The sequence below is a fragment of the Homo sapiens genome, chromosome 7 (assembly GCF_000001405.40).
Source record: "Homo sapiens chromosome 7, GRCh38.p14 Primary Assembly".
NCBI lineage: Eukaryota > Metazoa > Chordata > Mammalia > Primates > Hominidae > Homo > Homo sapiens.
The window spans coordinates 32,666,005-32,684,642 of record NC_000007.14 but is presented as its reverse complement, the minus strand read 5'-3'; the positions used below and the strand labels follow the sequence as shown (position 1 = coordinate 32,684,642).

The 18,638-nt window shown below is 38.5% G+C and overlaps 1 pseudogene across 1 annotated transcript in view, besides 2 other annotated features; it reads left to right on the top strand.

The window, feature by feature from the left end:
• The window catches only part of DPY19L1P1 (DPY19L1 pseudogene 1), a 138,230-nt pseudogene that overhangs the window by 34,526 nt on the left and 85,066 nt on the right, over positions 1 to 18,638 (top strand). Inside the window, exons 3-5 of the transcript NR_036680.1 lie at positions 5,513 to 5,650; positions 7,735 to 7,855; positions 8,618 to 8,711. The product of NR_036680.1 is annotated as a DPY19L1 pseudogene 1 (transcript). The remainder of the gene's footprint in view (positions 1 to 5,512; positions 5,651 to 7,734; positions 7,856 to 8,617; positions 8,712 to 18,638) is intronic.
• Positions 3,287 to 4,045: an enhancer, noted in NCBI's record as "OCT4-NANOG-H3K27ac-H3K4me1 hESC enhancer chr7:32720210-32720968 (GRCh37/hg19 assembly coordinates)". NCBI's record gives its function as "activates a minimal SCP1, AML or CMV promoter by ChIP-STARR-seq in naive H9 embryonic stem cells {active_cell/tissue: H9 hESC(naive)}" and the evidence as "EXISTENCE:reporter gene assay evidence [ECO:0000049][PMID:30033119]".
• Positions 6,739 to 6,939: a silencer, noted in NCBI's record as "peak6470 fragment used in MPRA reporter construct". NCBI's record gives its function as "represses an SCP1 promoter by STARR-seq MPRAs in K562 erythroleukemia cells {active_cell/tissue: K562}" and the evidence as "EXISTENCE:reporter gene assay evidence [ECO:0000049][PMID:32103011]".

Genomic DNA, 18,638 nt, shown 5'->3' with positions numbered 1-18,638 from the left:
AAATCAAATTGTCCCTGTTTGCAGATGACATGATTGTATATCTAGAAAACCCCATTGTCTCAGCCCAAAACCTCCTTAAGCTGATAAGCAACTTCAGCAAAGTCTCAGGATACAAAATCAATGTACAAAAATCACAAGCATTCTTATACACCAATAACAGACAAACAGAGAGCCAAATCATGAGTGAACTCCCATTCACAATTGCTTCAAAGAGAATAAAATACCTAGGAATCCAACTTACAAGGGATGTGAAGGACCTCTTCAAGCAGAACTACAAACCACGGCTCAAGGAAATAAAAGAGGATACAAACAAATGGAAGAACATTCCATGCTCATGGGTAGAAAGAATCTATATCGTGAAAATGGCCATACTGCCCAAGGTAATTTATAGATTCAGTGCCATCCCCATCAAGCTACCAATGACTTTCTTCACAGAATTGGAAAAAACTACTTTAAAGTTCATATGGAACCAAAAAAGAGCCCGCATCGCCAAGTCAATCCTAAGCCAAAAGAACAAAGCTGGAGGCATCACGCTACCTGACTTCAAACTATACTATAAGGATACAGTAACCAAAACAGCATGGTACTGGTACCAAAACAGAGATATAGATCAATGGAACAGAACAGAGCCCTCAGAAATAATGCTGCATATCTACAACTATCTGATCTTTGACAAACCTGAGAAAAACAAGCAATGGGGAAAGGATTCCCTATTTAATAAATGGTGCTGGGAAAACTGGCTAGCCTTATGTAGAAAGCTGAAACTGAATCCCTTCCTTACACCTTACACAAAAATTAATTCAAGATGGATTAAAGACTTAAACGTTAGACCCAAAACCATAAAAACCCTAGAAGAAAACCTAGGCATTACCATTCAGGACATAGGCATGGGCAAGGACTTCAGGTCTAAAACACCAAAAGCAATGGCAACAAAAGCCAAAAGTGACAAATGGGATCTAATTAAACTAAAGAGCTTCTGCACAGCAAAAGAAACTACCATCAGAATGAACAGGCAACCTACAAAATGGGAGAAAATTTTCGCAACCTACTCATCTGACAAAGGGCTAATATCCAGAACCTACAATGAACTCAAACAAATTTACAAGAAAAAAACAAACAACCCCATCAAAAAGTGGGCAAAGGATATTAACAGACACTTCTCAAAAGAAGACATTTATGCAGCCAAAAGACACATGAAAAAATGCTCATCATCACTGGCCATCAGACAAATGCAAATCAAAACCACAATGAGATACCATCTCACACCAGTTAGAATGGCAATCATTAAAAAGTCAGGAAACAACAGGTGCTGGAGAGGATGTGGAGAAATAGGAACACTTTTACACTGTTGGTGGGACTGTCAACTAGTTCAACCATTGTGGAAGTCAGTGTGGCGATTCCTCAGGGATCTAGAACTGGAAATACCATTTGACCCAGCCATCCCATTACTGGGTATATACCCAAAGGACTATAAATCATGCTGCTATAAAGACACATGCACACGTATGTTTATTGCGGTACTATTCACAATAGCGAAGACTTGGAACCAACCCAAATGTCCAACAATGATAGACTGGATTAAGAAAATGTGGCACATATACACCATGGAATACTATGCAGCCATAAAAAATGATGAGTTCGTGTCCTTTGTAGGGACATGGATGAAATTGGAAATCATCCTTCTCAGTAAACTATCGCAAGAACAAAAAACCAAACACCGCATATTCTCACTCATAGGTGGGAACTGAACAATGAGATCACATGGACACAGGTAGGGGAATATCACACTCTGGGGACTGTTGTGGGGTGGGGGGAGGGGGGAGGGATAGCATCGGGAGATATACCTAATGCTAGATGACGAGTTAGTGGGTGCAGCACACCAGCATGGCAGATGTATACTTATGTAACTAACCTGCACAATTTGCACATGTACCCTAAAACTGAAAGTATATAAAAAAAAGAAAAAAATGCTGCCAGTCTCTTTGCTAAAGCATAGTAAGAGTGACCTTTACTCCAGTTCCCAATAGGTTACTCATCTCCATCTGAGACCATCTCAGCCTGGACTTCATTATTTATATCACTATCAGCATTTTGGTCGAAACCATTCAACAAGTCTCTAGGAAGTTCCAAACTTTCATTCATCCTCTTGTATTCGTGTGAGCCTTCCAAACTGTTCCACCCTCTGCCTGTTACCCATTTCCAAAGTTGCTTCCACATTCTTATAGCAGTGCCCCACTACCTCGGTACCAATTCTCTGTATTAGTCTGTTTTCACACTGCTATGAAGAATACCACCAGAGACTGAGTATTTATAAAGAAAGGAGGTTTAATTGACTCATAGTTCTGCATGGCTGGGGAGGCCTCAGGAAACTTACAATCATGGTGGAAGGTGAAGGGGAAGCAAGGCACTTCTTACATGGGGCAGGCAAGAGAGAGAGAGAGAGAGAGAGAGCACCAGAAAGTACAACACTTTAAAACCATCAGCTCTCGTGAGAACTCACTCACTATCATGAGAATAGCATGGGGGAAACCGCCCCCATGATCCAATCACCTCCCACCAGGTTCTTCCCTTGACACCTGAGGATTACAATTCAAGATGAGATTTCAGTGGGGACACAAAGCCAAACCATATCAGAGTCTTCCTCTTAAAATTCATGGAAAGGTCATCTCTGTCTAATGTCTCTCTGATGCTTCTTTTGACAGTACCACTAAAGAAATTTCCATCCCAGAGAGTACATGTGGAGGACATCAGATTCAAAGACAAAAAATTATTTGTCATTGGTTTCAACCACAAAACCATTTACTGTGGTTTTAATATTGTGAATATCTGTTCTGATCCCAAGAAATCATCAGTCAAGTAGAGAAAAATAGAACAATCTATTTCTAGAGTGTCTAAAGCATTCATTCTATCATTTTAGTAGATGATATATATGAACATCAACATCCAGTCATTTCCTGAATAATACAAGACATTATAATTTACCTTAGAGTGAAGCTGTTCTCACAGAATTTACATTGTGCAATTTTGCTTTTTCACATGAATAAATTAGGGGCTCAGGAAGTAGAAGGACAAATAAGGCAGAGAACAAGCAGGAAAAATAATTGAGGTAGGACCAGCAATCCATGGAGTATCCCAAGTTCAGGTGAAAGTGTAGAATATATCTGAATGTGAGAGTAGGGCCAAAGATAGACTCATTTTGGCCATGGACTCACTGACGTGTGATCAAAGAAAAATAAGTCTGAAGAGCATTGGAAACCCGGGCAATGGTCATGGAATAAATGGATAGTCAAATACTACTAAAAATAATAATAATAGCCATCATTTATGTGATTACTGAAAAGAGTTTAAGATTTTCGTGCAGTTTGGTTCTTCACAGGGCAACCCCCAGAATTGGGGTTGAGCCCAGGAGGCCATGTGGGTTCTTGGCTTTGGGCAGGAAGGAATTCAAGAATGCTCCAACAGAGTGAAGTGAAAAGAAGTTTACCTTAAGAAAGTAAAGGGATGAAAGGGTGGCTACTCCACAGGCAGAGCAGCTGTGAGGGCTGCTGGTTGATTGTTTTTAAGGTTATTTCTTCATCATATGCTAAACAAGAGGTGGATTATTCATGAGTTTTCTGGGAACAGGGAGGGGAATTCCTGGAACTGAGGGTGTCTCCCGCTTTCAAACCATATAGGGTAACTTCCAGAGGTTGCTATGGCATTTGTAAACTGTCATGCTGCTGGTGGGAGTTTCCTTTAGTATGCTAATATATTATAATGAGCAATAAGGATGACCAGAGGTCACTTTAGTTGTCATCTTGGTTTTGGCGGGTTTTGGCCGGCTTCTTTACCACATCCTGTATTATCAGCAGGGTCTTTGTGACCTGTAACTTGTGAAACCAGTCGTGCCAGATTCCTGGGCTCCATTTTAACCTTAGGATATAGTCCACTAGGGATATACAGTAAAATTACAGTATCTTAATGTTATTTGAAATCTTCTCCCAAGTTGATAAATAGTTCATTCCTTTCTTTCATTTTTATTTTGATATTTAGGGATTTTTAAATTTTTGATATGTTTCCAAAAGCAAACCTACAAAAGAAGGAAGGTATAGTGTCCTAGGGCTGTCATAAAGAAGTACAACAAGCTAGGTGGCTTAAAACAGCAGAAATGTATTCTCTCACAGTTGCAGAGACTTGCAGTGGGACGTTAAGGTGTTGATGGGCATCTTGTCTCTGAAGGCTGGAGGGGAGAGTCCTTCCTTGCCTCCTCTCAGCCTCTGATGGCTGCTGGCCATCCTTGGAATTCCTTGGCATGCTGATGCCTCACCGCAGTCTCTGATCCATCTTCACACAGCCTTTTCCCCTGTGTGCCTGTAGCTTTGAGGCCAAATATTCCTCTTTATTTAGATTTACCAGTTGTGTTGGGTTTAGAGTCCACCTTAATCCAATATGACCTCATCTTGATCACGTCTGCAAGAATCCTATTTCCAAATAAGATCAATCCACAGGGTCTGGTGGACATGAAATTTTAGGGGACAGTATCCAAATCAGTTCACAAGGAAACATAATTTTAAAAATAGTGATATCAGAGCTAATACATCAGAGTATCAAGACCATTTTTTTCTTTTTCAGTAAATTTCTGGGTAGGCATCTCACTTTTGTATTTGTGAGTCTTAAACCCGGTTTAAACTTTGGCAGCTACTGGTACTGGCTACCAGGGCAGCTCCAGACAAAACTGAAGATGCAAATACAAGACGTAGATTTATCTTGTGTTTCTCTGTCTTCCCTCATACTGCCGCTTAGACTCTCCGTTAGGCTTCTAGTGTTTTCTTGTTTTGTCTCACGTAATTTTCCACCCTTGCTATCTTTCCAAAGCAGTGTGCCAAGCTAAAAAACTCTTTTCTTCAAAATAGGACCACTCCCCACCCTCATCCCCAGTCACGCAGGGTTCTTACCTTATGCTGACTTGATAGGAGGGAAAATAATCTGCAAAATTAGGTGGCACCCGAGTGAAATTCATATGTAATAATACATCAGTGAGTAGCCTTCTCAACACATTTGCATTTTTCCATGTAAATCCGGAGGAAAAATGATTGATAGTGTCATTTTGGGGATTAACATAAGCAGTTAGAGGAGCATTTTTGGCTTAAGATTTCTTGGTTAATGATAAATTTTAGTTCCGTAAGAAACCACTCACTCTATTCATAAGATAGCATTTTCTAACAGTTATATTAGTGTGGGTAATAGGATTTTCTAAGTTGAAGTATGCTGAGTCATATTATTTTTTAAATGCTGAAACTATTGTTGAAGCTATTTTGCATTCAGTTATTTCAATTAAGACAAGTTTATGTGAAAATACGTAGTTTTTTCGCAACTTTAGGATTTATCAATGGTCAGAAACCTGTGAAATTCATTGTCTTAATAGCTATTAGTTGCTTAATTGCTTTGTTTTTCAAAAACAGTATATTTACTTCGAAGAGGCATCATAATTATGTACCTTTTGTTATTTTAACTGAGCATATCCTTATTTCAGGGACTGTATTATTCCTATTTCAAGACTATTGTGGAAACACCCTCATTTTTGAATGGAGTATGGATGATTATGAATGATAAACTGACTGAATACCCCCTTGTTATTAATACATTAAAAAGATTCAATCTTTACCCTGAGGTAAGGTACTTTTTCCAATTGTGATTTTTCACTTTTGTAAAACTTTTTTGAATTAAATGCTGATTCTAACTCTAAGGTATAATTCAATATATTAAATTGTATTTAATTTTTTAAAAGAAAATATGTATCTTGGGGAGGAATATGTAAAAAACATCATTACTGATTTTGAGGAGGGGGCTTTAATTCTGTGGGGAACTGTTGTTGTGACTGCATTGTTTAAAAAATACAAAAACTAGATTTGGTGTGCTTACAAGGATTATACTAAGGGAGCTCTGTTACTTTTATATGTCATTTGTTAAATGTTTTCTTCCTTATCCTCATTTAATTAAGTGCACTTTCTTGAGTGGGAGTGGAGGGAAGGTGAGCCCGATCCAGCAAGTGGAGATGGCATTTGGCCTTTCCTTTATCCTCCTTGCAAAACTATAAATTTGTTGATGTGGAACTCTAGTTCAGTAGAATATATACTTTAATGATTTTGTCAGAAGACCTTCCGGATAGATATTCAACTATCCACCAGGAGTGTTTTCGAAACTATTTATTTACCTGCATCTTTGTTGATTGGATAGACAAAGAAATTGAAGTCACATGATGTATTTCATTCATTGATTATAGATATATTTCAGTGTTCTTTATATATGTATGTATAACACACATACATATACATATAATGCATTTTTACTTTTAAAATTAATTACCAATTCATGCTTTTCATCTATATTTCTATTAAAATTTTATATACTGGATATTAATATAATGCTATATAATAAAACATTTTTCCCAGTTGTTTGCCCTTTAGCTTTGTGTATGATGTCTGTGTATTTTTTTATACAGAAATATATCTATGAATCTTTTTGTCTTTTATACATACATGTAAAAAACTTCATTTTTATAATTATAACTTTTTTTAAATTTACATTTTTAATTTATCTGGAATTGGTTTTGATGCATAGTGTGGGGTAGGAATCTAACCTTGAATTTTTCTTTGAAAATAGTATTGTGTGTAACCTAACACTGATGAGGTGTCCATCCTCTCTCCACTGATTTGAAGTAAGCTTTCTTCTTTATGTGCAAAATTGTTATACATACGTGCTTTCATGTGTTTCTGGATTTTGTGCTCAGTATTTCTTAGGTTGAGGTCATGGGAAGTGGACTTTGAGATGGAGATTTGCATGCAGGAAGTAGTTGAGGGAGTGTCCTTAGGGTCAACACTTGAAGAGGGATGAATGAAGCAGAATAGGCAGGAGGAAGAGGAGAGCTTTGATGCAGTCACTGTGAAGGCCTCATCCAGTCCCTGGGCAGCTCTGGATCTGGGATGGCCTTGCAGAGTTGTCCTACCTTGACATAAGGGCCCCTGGTATCTTTCCCTATTGACTTGTCCGTCATTGGATGCAGATTGCCCTTGGGTAGGGGGTGTCACTTTGAGTGAATTTAATTTCTTCCCAGGGAGGGACACAGCTTCGAGCTCTCAGGCACCAGTCTTCCAACTAGCTGGAGGAATGATTGCCTCAGCCTGGAAGAGGGCATCTGGGGTGGCTTATCACCACCTGTACTATGGCTACATTGATCTGTCTAGCCATTCTTGTGCCAGTATCACACTATTTTAATTATTAAAGGTGATAAGACTTAATATCTGTTAAAACATTCCCTTTAGTTTTCTTGTTAGTTTTCTAGATACATTTTAGGCACTTGGAATTTTGATTAGAATTATTTTATGTTTATCAATTAATTTGAGGGAGAATTCAAATCTTAAATAATTTGGTCTATTCCAGTAGACCCAGTATCTTTTACTTGAGCAAATCCTCTTTTGTATCTCTTAGTAGAGTTGTATAGTTTTTGAAAAACATAAACTTAGCACTTTTTTTTGGCCCATATTTTGTCCTTACCCATGGATGAACAATTGAAAACTGACCAGTGAAGAATCTGCCTAGGAGATTCTGAGCCTCGTTTTACTAGATTTAAAGGGAGCCAAGTGGATGGTACAGAAAGGGAAAATATGGCAATTGTCACAATATCTCAAAAGTATTCTAGTAATGAAAATTGTTTGGTATATTTTCTTAAGATACCACTATATTTTTTAAAAATAGGTAATTTTGGCCAGCTGGTACTGGATTTATACCAAAATAATGGACTTCATTGCAATTCAAACCAAGATATGTCGGACGGTTACCAGAGGAGAAGGACTCAGTCCTACTGAAAGCTGTGAAGGTAAGTTTCGTTCTGTAATATTGTCCAGTTATCTGTTGTAACGTAATAAACTTATCCAGCATAATAAACTTAACACTGTAAACTTAGTGGTGTAAGCAACACCCATTTTATTATGCATATGGATTCTGCAAGTCCAGAATTTGGGCAGGCTTTAGCGGGGCTGGTTTATCTCCATGATTTCAGGGACCTCTGCTACTAAGACTCAAATGTCTGGGAAGGCTGGAGTTAACTGAGAGGCTGCATTGCTCACATTTTGGCTCCTGGGCATGGAGGACTGTGAGGCTGAGCTCAACTGGAACTGTCAGCTGGGACACCTACACGTGGCCTTTCTGGGTGACTTGGGCTTTATGATAGCAAAGTACCTCAGAGTAGTAGTAAGGCTTTTCCTATGGCAGCTGAAGGCTCCAAGCTGGACACTGTGTGACCTCTTATGACCTAGCCTCAGAAGTCACTAGTGTTGCTTCTGCCGTACTCTGTTGAGTCACAAGCCCACTGAAACTCAAAAATGGGGGCTGTAGACCCCATACCTCCAGAGGAGACGTATCCGTGAATTTGCAGCCCTGTTTTAAAACCATCATTGCTAATTGCCCTGATCTCATCTGTGTTCTGCAGCAGTGTTGGGTTTTCATGTGGGAACCAAGGCAACTACTTAATGTATCTGGCAACCATTTTCAAAATGAACACAATTTAATATAAATTGCTAGACACATAAGGTAATTTGGGTTAATGTGATTAGAACATATGTTTTGTTTATTTTTAAAGGATTGGGAGATCTTGCTTGCTTCTATGTTGCTGTAATTTTTATTTTAAATGGACTAATGATGGCATTATTCTTCATATATGGCACATATTTAAGGTAAGAATATTTTAGTATGTGTTTATAAGATATACTAAAATAAAATAGTTGATAAGTTAATAGTTAATCATTGATTAATTTATAGTTCAGTTTTATGAAAATATCCTAAAATATCTTATTATCATAAAATCATTCATTATTTGCATGATTTCACCACTGCCATGGCCCATCACACTTAAGATAGTTTTAGAGATGTAAATAGAATTGGGAATACTTGATAAATTTAATTACTATTTTTTTTGAGACAGGGTCTCACTCTGTCACCCAGGCTGGAGTGCAGTAGTGTGATCTCTGCTCACTGCAACCTCCACCTCTTGGGTTCAAGCGATCCTCCCATTTCAGCCTCCTGAGTAGCTGGGACCATAGGTGCATGCCACCAAACTCAGCTAATTTTTTGTATTTTTTGTAGAGACAGGGTTTTGCTATGTTGCCCAGACTAGTCTCAATTTCCTGGGCTTGAGTGATCTGCCCATCTCAGCCTCCCAAAGTGCTGGGATTACAGGCATGAGCCACAGTGCCTGGCATAAATTTTAAATATTCATAGGCATTTGAACATAAGCAATATATATTCCATATATTGTTATGGAATATCTAATATATTGTTATGGAACAATATAATCCATTTGTTGTATGTACATGTGTATGTGTGTGTGCTGAGATGTGTGAAGTCTTACTTCTTACTGTAGTTTTGGTGTAAAAAAAGTCCGTAGACTACTGCTTAAGGTAGCATGAGGGAGCAGCTTTTACCTTAGAGCATTTGGGTCTTTCCAGATGTGGTTCTTCTTCCAATGTCAATGGCTGTAGATTGTTTCAGCTCCATCCAGTATATATTGTTTACATAAAATATAAGGGAAAAGACCACTCATTATCAAATGATATTAATAGCTCTTTACTAATGTTAAAATAGAAGTATCTTCTATGCAATATTTAGAAGTGTCTTCTCTGCAATATTTAATATCTGACCTGATTTACTTTACAGTTGAGCAGCATTCCTAAAACTAAAAGACTAATTTTTTCAGGCTTTTTATGTTTACTTTTCTTCTTTCTTATTTGTTTTGCCAATTTATTATACTGTATGTATGTTTGAAGTATTTTGCCTTGAGATTATCTTTAGAATTTTCTTCCTTGCTGCTTATTGATTCTTTGTAGTACAGAATTATGAGAATTGTATATGATTTTCAATTCGGGATAATGAGTTTGAATTTGCTATTATCCCATTATCTCCTTTCCTTTGGAAGTGTGGTATTTTCAGTTTAGTACCTCAAAGATGTGTTGAGTTTCTAGCCCACCATTTGAGTATCTAGCAGTTACTTGATAAGCATTTATCAAATGAGGAAGCTGTTAGAAGATTGATGTAAAATATATTTGTATATAGATTTAAGACACTTTGAAGTTAATGTTTCTGACTTAGGTCTAAGAAAATTCTTTTGTTTAATTGGGGAGACTAAAATAAAAATGCATGATTAAAAGATGATGTGAAAGATTTTGTTTTTGAAACAAGATGCAGGGAAATAAGTTAAACCAAAAGAATATGGTAATGAGAAAAGGAGGCTGACTTGAGGGAAAGTGGGCCTGTGTGCTTGCATCGTAATGAGCCAGAGGGAGAGAAACTTGGTGGTGTCTGTTCATTTTGCTAAGTACTGCCCGTCTGTCTATGGGTAGCTTTATTACATTTGGGAGATTAGATTTTACATAAGAGAAGTTGAAATATGAAACATGGCATTATTGCTAAGCTGCTAATCTGCACTTATGCTACCTTTTTTAAAAAAAATATGGGGTCTTGCTATATTGTTGCCCAGACTGGAGTCCAGTGACTATTCACAGTGCACTATAGCCTCAAACCACTGGCTTCAAGCAGTCCTCCTGCCTCAGCCTCCCAAGTAGCTGGAACTACAAGTGTGTGCCACCATGCCTGGCTACTTTTTTAATTGAAAGAAGAATTTGTAAACATCTGTTAAAGAAAGCATTCATATTTTCTTGTAATGCTTGTTGTAACTGTTTTTTCAAAGGCAGAAGGCACAACATCTACTGAGGAGAATAGAAGGTTCTGGTTTCGATTGAGGGGTTTTTGGTGGTTTTGGCCCTGACCTGATCTTTCTCAGTGTTTAACCCCTGTGGTGCCTGGTAGGCAGTTTTTTGTATTCAGTTGTTCAGTCAACACAAACAATTCATACCAAGTAGTTTCTTAAGACTGTTTGGGCTCTGAGAGCATGGGAGTGCGGCAGGGTGTGTGTGAATGGAAGATAGAAAGGAAGGAAAAATAAAGTGCTTAGAACTCCAGAGGCAGGAGAAATTTGTTCTTCATGGAGGGGCTACTTTAGTGTGACCTTGTAGAATCAGAGGTATTTGGATAGGTGGAAATAAACCATGAGGATAAAAGCATACCAGGGAGAGGCAAAGGCCAAAATCTAGTATGTGGAAAGCAGGTAGTAAGCAGATCAGTAAGCATGTTCTTCAGGGAGTGTTGTGGGGGATTCAGATTGGAACAGTGGTTGTGCTGGATGATGAAAGGCCTTGGTAACTGACTGAGTTGAAACCTATTCCAAAGCAAGTGAAATAAATACAAAAATTGACCAGTATAAGAACAGGATTCAAGCTGAAGTATGATCTCATGGAACACTTGACTTTCCCCAGTCCCCAAAGTCAAGCAGTGACTACTTCAGCACAGTGTTTGTCAAATTGCAGGTTATCACTTATTTGAGAGTTTTAAAATTGATTCAGTGGGTTGAGCCCATTTCATTTTAGATGAGAAAAAAAATACTACAAAGTAAATAATATCATCTACCAGACTAGTAAGGATAGATACTACTTAGAGAAACTTCCATTTGCTGTGTGTATGTATATACACACACACACACACACACACACATATGTATGTGTGCTGAGTTGTGTAAAGTCTTCTTACTGTAGTTTTGGTGTAAAAAAGTCTGTAGACTACTGCTTAAGGTGGCATGAGGGCAGCTTTTACCTTAGAGCATTTGGGTCTTTCCAGATGGCTGTCTCTGGTTCTTCCAGTGTCAGTGGCTATAGCTTGTTTCACTCTGCCCACTTGACTGCTTTGTGCTTTAGCTGGCCCCTTCTGTGTTACCCAACTCTTGGACCCCATGGTGGTCTGCACTAGCAGCACATGTTTTCATTTTTCCAGCTTTCCTTTTGCTGTTTGTGGGCTTTTTCTTAACCCGGAACCATCTCTTTAGCTCTATTCAAAGGCATCCTAAACTGAAGGTTCTTCCCACAATTGATCCTGATGTATATTATTTTGAATAGAGTCTCTTATCACTTCTTTTCTATCAGTGTTTTTCATTGCATTTTTGTATGTTTTTTGACCTGAAGTACATTTAGAGGTTTCAAATTACTAGTTAGTTCTTAATATTTTCTTCCTTGATGGTTAGTCACCCTTGTAATTTTATGAGAGGGATAAAGCTGCAGACTTCTTAAAATATGGGTTAAAAATAAAGAGGAGGATATCTAAAGTTGTTTTTAGGATTGAAAAAATAAATTGTATTATATACTGAGAAATAAAAGTTGAGATTTGTCTAGCAGATTAGAAATTTGCGGGCAGATTGACTGTGACATCTTAAATTCAGAAGTATATTTGTTTTGAAATAATATACATGTAAGTTTTTAGAAGCCATGTAAGCCAGTCCATTTCACCAGAAATAGAAGAAGGGAAAATAGAAAACAGCCAAATGATGAATGGAGCCAGGCTGCCAAGCTCTAACTTGAGAAGATGAAGTGAGATCTGTTTTGCAAACACAGCCTACTCATGGTATAATTCTTTTTCTGGAATTCTCAGTATTTTAGTATTTTTTTAAAAATACTCATTGTTAATTATTTTTTGAAGCTGTATTGATATATACTTACCGTTATTTATTTCATAAGATACCCTGATATTTCTTAGCCACAGACTAACAGTTTCTGAAGGCCAGTTTCTTAAGACCCAATGTGTAGAAATCTCTGTTCTGCAAGTAAGAAGGAGCATTGGTTGTTGGGCAGTTCGAACTTTCCCCATAGTTTCTTCTGGAGGAAATTCATATATGCTTAAGTTTCCCTTATTGATAAATATAAAAAACTTTTGGCGTTGGACTCTAAGGCAGATACCAAGCAGGTGATTCTAAAGCTTTTCTTTGTACTTTAGTGTGATTTTAGTATTATTTTGGAATTCGAGGTTAGCTAGGTTATGGTGCATTGTTGAGGAAGAATAGATTGGATAGTGTATTAAGCTGTTAAATAATGTATATGTTTAACAGTTCTCTGGAAAAATACATATGTATATAAAGTTTATATATTATAAATTTGTGTATTATAAATTTTACTGCTATGTAAGGATGAGTACAAACAATAACAGGGTTTCTGAGCAGGAGTTTTTTTCTTTCTCTTTTGAAAAGGGTGCCAAAAATACTGACTAGCTGAAATAAAAGAGGGAGTACAATACTGGGATACAGAGGCCTGGTGGGATCAGAGAAACATCGAAAAAAGTGCCTTTGTTTAAGGCTCATTCCTTTGTAGGTGTTAGATTTATCCCTACTGGCTGCCAGTTCTTCTTTGCCCGTCGCTGTCCTTCAGGCTTGCTTTCCTGGTTCCTTCCCATCTGCCTCAGAATGTGTTCATCCCTTACCTCCCCTCTCACATGACAAAATTAAGACAAAACTTTTTTTTTTTTTTGGATACGAAGTCTCGCTCTGTTGCCCAGGCTGGAGTGCAATGGTGCCATCATGGCTTACTGCATTTTCCGCTTCCCGGGTTCAAGCAATTCTCTTGTCTCAGCCTCCTGAGTATCTGGGATTACAGGCGTGCACCACCACACCCAGCTAATTTTTTTTTTTTTTTTTTTTTTTTTAGTAGAGGCAGGGTTTTACCATTTTGGTCAGGCTGGTCTCAAACTCTTGACCTTAGGTGATCCACCCACCTCGGCCTCGCAAAATGTTGGGATTACAGGCGTGAGCCACTGCGCCCGGCCAACAAAACTTTTTAACTGGACTTCCCTTGGGTCCCTTTGCTATTCCCATCTAGTCTCCCACCCCTTCCTCCTCTCCCCAGCAGCGAGGCCCTGGTCCCATTCACCACTCCCACTGCTCTGCTTGTGCAGCTGCTTACTTAGCAGCCCTGCCTTTGATTGCTTGATTTGTTTTGAATCTTAGGATGGTGAAATGATGCATGAAACCACCCAGGGTTTTCACAGACCAGGGCTGTGACTGGCCAGAGAGGACTCTGGTGCTGTCTTTTTGAACTTCATTTTCTTTGTAGCGTTCTCCCCTGATTACTGCTGCCTCTGTCTTCAGAGTTCCTACTACTCTCCTTAAAACTGGAGCTGAAGGATAGACAAAAATTCCTTTCCCTAAGGTAAGAGAAATGTCTTAGAATTATAAAAGTACTTAAGTTGATTTTTAGATCTTATGTTAGAATCTTTGAGTTCTTTCCCATTCAGTATCCTATCCGAGGTTGCCCCCAAAATACCTCATTAGCTTTTTAGACTCTTTAGCCTTTGATTCCATCTAGATCAAGTGCCGTCAGAGGAGGTCTTCTGGAGAAAACAGTGGGCAGTGAGTGTGGCTGATGAGTCATCCTGGGGCAGACAGAACAATGCCCCTGTGGAGTGTCTCATTATTGACTGATAGCTGCCCAGTCACTGCTGCCTACTTGGACTTTGGTTTATTGTACCGCATGCAATACTTTTACTGGAACTTTTAAATTATCCCTTCAGTTTATGTTGAGGCTCTTGTCAGAAACAGCTGTGTGAAATTCCTTACTTTATTTTATGCATTGTTATCATATGAGTGTATTATCTGTGACCCAGTAAATAAATAACTAGTAAAAAAAATACTTTTTTATGTGTAAAATGTTACGACTATGGAATTGTGTAAAATCTTTATATACATTTTTAAAGATTAGTAAAATGAATACTTACATACCCATGACACAGATTAAAAAAATAAATAAATTATCAGAGCTTTCATACCCTTAAAATTCCTTCTTAATGCATTCTCTTTCCTTCCCTCAACCCTCAGAGGAAATGGCATCCTAACTTTTGGACCAATGTTTTCCTTGTTTTTCTTTATGATTATGCCACTCATGTGTATATATTAAATATGGTGTGTTTAGTTTTGAAAAACTGAGTATCAGGCACAAACCTAGCTGCTTAAGGGGAGGACACTATTGCCCTTGTTAGATGAAAGTTCCCAGAAGAAGAGAATTTCTGAGTCATGGTCTTTAGGTTCCCTGAGGGAACTTTCTGAGGCTGTCAGGAGCACAGCTGAGCTAGGGGAGGGAGCTGAGCTGCCAGGTATTGGAGTGGCTGGTTAAAGCGACAAGGCAAAAGTGAGAATTAAGCCTTTAATCATTTACTGTAATGGTATAAGTGAGATGTGACGATCAGGATGTCTCACCCCCATCAAAAGGGAACAAAAGGCTCCTGCAGTTTATGGTTCTTGAGGTGGTGGGGCAAAGGAGAAGGGCCAGGAGCCAAAGAGTGCAGAGTCTGAGTCAGAGTGGGGAGCAACCTCTTCAAGGAGCCCCTCTCTGCCAGCAGAGAATGGGACCAGGAAATAAAGGTGCCTGGGCTAGGAAGGCAAATATAAGAAGAGCTTTATCACCCAGAAATGGCTGAGTCATTGACTGCAACTCCCCTGAGAGACTACAGTACGCTGGCTCTGCACCAAGCCTGGTGTGTGAAGGTCTTCTTTTCCCTGTGAGGCCTGCCAGGCAAAGCCTTGCATATGGCCAGGCCTGAGAAATCCCATATAGATTTTCAACCAGGAGCCTGATTCCTAAAGACATCAGTAGGCAAGGTCATGAGCTAGTCCTGGGATAAATGTGGGACTCAGTTGGTAGGGACATCTGGCAGAAATGTAGTAGCCAGGTACTGAATATCCAGCAGAAATATCATGAGGGGAAGAGCTGTTCCCTCTTTCTAAATTCACCACTGTTTACCCTGGCTCTCTGGAGCATATCAAAGCAGAACAACTTCTGTGAGTGACATAAGTGTCTTTAACTGATGCCAGCAGTAAAGCATTTGGAGCCAAGATAAAATACAGACAAGAATCTGGTCCAGGCTCATCCAGGCTCACACAAATAAAATGTGGAGATTTTGGGCATGAGTCAGTAAGTACTTGGTTCTGGACTGGCTACCTTCCATGGTTTGTGTACATCTGTCCTCTTGGCATCTCATTGGGATTTCCTTGACTGCTCTCCCCTGTTGGATCTCCTGTGCCCTTATCCTGTTTGTTCTTCTTTCTTGGTTTATTTTCTCACTTTGGTAGACTTCATCTTCTAGTAAGTAGGTCTTGAGAGTAGATAGCTGGGAGGTAAACATTTATGAAACTTTGCATATTTGAAAATGTCTTTATTTGCTTTCGTATTTGGTTCACTGTTTGGCCAAGTATTGAACTCTAGACTTGAAAACATTGTCGGTTGCTTCAGATGGTGCCATTCAGATGTTCCGAAGTTATTTGGGTTTCTAAACCTTTGTATGTGACCTTTGCTTCCCCTTCCTCTCTCTGGAAGATTGTAGAATATCTTCTTTGTCTCTATGGTTCTGAAATTTCAGAGCAATACCATCTCAGTGTAGATCTGCTTTCATGTGTTCTCTTAGACACTTGATGGGTTGTTTCAGTCTTGTAACTCATGCCTTTGATTTCTGGGAATTTTCTTGAATTATTTCTATACTTATTTCATTCCCTTTGTTTTCTGATTCAGAACTTTTATTGTTTGGATGTTCATAGTTCCCAGTCCTCTAATTTTATTTTATTTTCTTTTTTTCCCCCCATTTTTAAGCTCTTTGGCTTTGTTTTACATTCTAGAACATTTTATCAGCCTTATTTTTTCCAGCTGTTCTAATGAGTTTTTATTTTTCATTGTCATGCTTTTAATTTCCAAGTAGTTTTGTTTGTTCTATAAACATTCCTTTCTAAAAAATAGTATTTTATTTTTGTTTCATGGATTCAACACATTTTCTCTCTAAGGGTATTAATGATGTTTTTACCCTCCCAGAATAATCTTGGCATCTTCTAGCTTGTGTTTTTTTGTTTGTTTGTTTGTTTGTTTTGAGCCGGAGTCTCACTCTGTTACCAGGCTGGAGTGCAATCGCATGATCTCGGCTCACTGCAACCTTCGCCCCCTGGGTTCAAGCAATTTTCTCTTGCCTCAGCCTCCCAAGTAGCTGGGACTACAGGCACGCGCCACCACGCCCAGCCAATTTTTGTATTTTTTAGTTGAGATGGGGTTTCACCATGTTGGCCAGGATTGTCTCAATCTCTTGACCTGGTGATCCACTCGCCTCAGCCTCACAAAGTGCTGGGATTACAGGTCTGAGCCACCGTGCCCAGCCTAGCTTGTTTTTTTAAACATCTTTTGGTCTCTACCTTCCATGTTAGGTGCTTTCCTTAGATGTCTGGCAAACTTAGGCTGTCATGATTAAGGCTAGAAGACCGAAAAAAGCTGTATAGAAGCTCTAAATTGTGGGTGGAATCTATTAAGGTTGAGTTCTTATATAATTTGAATAAATGATGTGAGCAGAACTTAGAGTGACTGCCAGTTCTTTGGTTTGCCTTTAGATGTAAAAGAAAATATAAAGTAACAGAGGTCTTTTAGGGTTGTAAAAGGGAGGTGCAGTGTTTTATTAGGTTAACTAAAATGGAAGATTATAGACAATTTTTAAAGAAGTGATTGAGTAGAGGGGAGAACACCTAAATGAGTTTAAGAGACTCTGTCTTCTATGTGAGAATGGAATAAGGTAGTGTTTGCAAAGGACCCAGAAGAATGCTTGCCTTCCAAAATATTTTTTGATTGAATAAATTCATAATTAATAAAATATTGAAAGAAAAACTTAGCTTATGGTTGCCATATATGAAAGGCACAATAAAAATATATTATCTATCACATAAGCTTTACTAGCATTTACCAATTTAGGAAGTATTTTTCCAGTGGACTCATTCTGAAGCTTTCCCTCTGCAGATTCCAATCTTTCTTGAAGACTGTTGTTGATTGGAGAAATTCAGTATGTGTAAAATGCTTATGTGTGAGACTGTAGTCTAAGCTCTTTACAATCAGAAACTCATTTAATCCATATGGTTACCAGATGAGATAGGTAAACCACTTTATAGATGAGGAAACTGAGATACAAGGATATTAAATAGCTTGCCAAGGTCACAGGGCTAGTCATTGGCAGAGTAGGGATTTGAGTACTGACAATGGCTCCAAAGTGTGTGCTCTACTGTCTTTTTTTTTTTTTTTGAGATGGAGTCTTGCTCTGTCGCCCAGGCTGGACTGCAGTGGTATGATCTAGGCTCACTGCAAGCTCCGCCTCCCGGGTTTACTTATGCTATTCTCCTGCCTCAGCCTCCCGAGTAGCTGGGACTACAGGTGCCCGCCACCAATCCCAGCTAATTTTTTGTATTTTTAGTAGAGGCGGGGTTTCACCATGTTAGCCAGGATGGTCTCGATCTCCTGACCTCGTGATCTACCTGCCTTGGCCTCCCAGAGTGCTGGGATTACAGGCGTGAGCCACAACGCCTGGCCTACTGTCTTTGAGAATACATTTAAAGTGTTCTTTCCACAGCAATTAAATTGTCTGCAGCTTTAGTTAATTTTTGTTTAAAGATCCTGCATAATGAAGAAAAAAGTGTTTATTCCATTTCCAAAGTGAGTATTTATATTTCATAAAAAGTTTTACTTAAAATGTTAAAATGTTTTAAAGATACACGACACTAAGAAGGATCTAGACTTTCCGTTCTCTTTTCTGTTCTCATGTTCCAGAATATTACTGTTCTGTAATAATTCATTTCTGAAGGATTCTGAAGTCCCAGGATTTTGCTCTTCTTCAGCTGATATTTCTGTATGCATTGTTTTGGTTTGATAGGTGGAAGTTTACTCTTTCTAATATTGTCATTTTTCAGGATCCTATTTTGCTCCATTTTTAGCTGTCATACA